This window comes from Homo sapiens, chromosome 14 (assembly GCF_000001405.40).
Source record: "Homo sapiens chromosome 14, GRCh38.p14 Primary Assembly".
NCBI classification, from domain to species: Eukaryota; Metazoa; Chordata; class Mammalia; order Primates; family Hominidae; genus Homo; species Homo sapiens.
The window spans coordinates 55,864,238-55,866,203 of record NC_000014.9 but is presented as its reverse complement, the minus strand read 5'-3'; the positions used below and the strand labels follow the sequence as shown (position 1 = coordinate 55,866,203).

The following is a 1,966-nucleotide window of genomic DNA, read 5'->3' as shown; positions in this document are numbered from 1 at the left end:
TCCATGGGAACAGTGACTGAGTGAGAGATCCCAGGGACCCACGCTTCTTCCACAGACCTTTGCAACGCTGAGGTCAGGAGGTCCCCCTCATGAACCTACTACCAGGGTTCACTCTGACACACAGAGCTAGGTGGAGTCTGGGCAGAGCCACTGATCAGGGTCCTAGGAGCCTTTGGTCCCCGGGCATCCCAGGATTAGCAGCCACAGCTCTGGCAAAGGGGTAGGTTAGGCTCCCTTAAGGGAAAGGGGCTGAATCCAAGGGGCTGAGCAGAGACAGTCTGCAGGCCTCACTTCCACGGCACCTGGTGGGGTAAGACCCACTGACCTGGAACTCCAGCCACATGTGACCATGGTAGCAGCTCCACGCCTCCCTGAGAGGGAGCTCCCGGAGGGAGGGGTGGGCCACCATCTTTGCTGTTTTGCAGCCTTTGCTGTTGCTGCCTTCAGGCACTGGAGAGCCCAGGGTGATGAGGGACTGACTGGCCCCCCGGCACAGTGCAGCTGCCCTATAAAAAAGCATTCAGATCGTTTTTTACATGGGTCCTCCACCCCATTTTTCCTCACTGGGCAAGACCTCTCAACCTGGGACTCCACCCACCACCCCCGGCAGTCCCCTCACCCCCACCCCCTCCAGGGCAATCGGGCCAGTAGCAGCTCCTCGCCTCCCTGGGGAAGAGCTCCCAGAGGGAGGGCCGGCCTAGAAAGTCTGTTGGGACAGGGGATGGTACGGACCCCTAGCACAGAGCAGCTGCCTCACGGAAAAGCGGCAGGACTGTTCCCCTCCCTATGCAGGTCCCACCCTCACTTCTCACGGACTGGGGGCCGCCTAACCTGGGACGCCAGGACAGCCACCCTGCCTGCGGAAACACTTCAATCAGAGGCAGCCCAGCATTTCTCCCAGGAAGAAATGCCGGAGTCAACCTAAGAACAAAAGGCCTAGTCTCTAGGCTGGGACCTCCAGCACACAGCAGCCACCATACAGAAAGGAGTCTAGCCCGTCTTCCCGGGGAGCCCCTACCCTGCCCTCTCCACCAGGCAGGGCCGCCAGCTCGGGATCGCAGAACAGCTGCCCTGGCTGAGCGCACCCACTGGCAGTGGCTCTGGGTGTCCCTGGGGAGAGACTCCCAGAGGCAACCGACAGCCCCTCTGTCGCGGCCACAGCAGCGGTTCTGCCCATGCTGTCCTTGGTCTGGGGAAGAAACAAAGAGCCTGGGGGCTCATTATACTTAAGTGCCACCTAGTGGATCAAACCCCAAACTTCAACACCAAAAATACTTTGCAAACATAACCCACTGTGAAACCAACAAGAATTCCGCTACAAAGACCCTGCACAAAGCCTCACCCTCTGAAAACATCCAGAAAAGAAGTCTATTGAGTGTACTCAATCTACACCACAGTTAAAGGAACACCCACATGCAGAGATGAGAAAGAACCAGGCAATTCAAAAGACCAAAGTGTCTTCATTCCTCCAAACAACCTCTCTAGTTTTCCAGCAAGGGTTTTTAACTGGGCTGAGATGGCTGAAACAACAGAAATAAAATTCAGAATATGAATAGGAATGAAGATCAAGATTAAGGGAAACATCAAAACCCAATCAAAGGAATCTAAGGATCACAATAAAACGATTCAAGAGCTGACAGACAAAACAGTGTAAAAAAGAACCTAACTGATCTGATAGAGCTAAAAAATACACTACAAGAATTTCATAATGCAATTGCAGTAGTAACAGCAGAATAGACCAAGCTGAGGAAAGAATCTCAGAGATTGAAGACTGGCTTTCTAAAATAAGACCATCAGACAAAAATAAAGAAAAAATAATGAAAAGGAATAAACAAAACCTCCAAGAAATATGGGATTATGTAAACAGATCAAATCTATGACTCATTGGCATCCCTGAAAGAGACAGGGAATAAAGACAGGAAAATGGCACAAGCAAATGGAAAACAGAAAATATCAAGGGTTGCAA

At 52.0% G+C, this 1,966-nt stretch overlaps 1 annotated feature.

The window, feature by feature from the left end:
* Window positions 256-756: an enhancer, noted in NCBI's record as "H3K27ac hESC enhancer chr14:56332166-56332666 (GRCh37/hg19 assembly coordinates)". NCBI's record gives its function as "activates a minimal SCP1, AML or CMV promoter by ChIP-STARR-seq in primed H9 embryonic stem cells {active_cell/tissue: H9 hESC(primed)}" and the evidence as "EXISTENCE:reporter gene assay evidence [ECO:0000049][PMID:30033119]".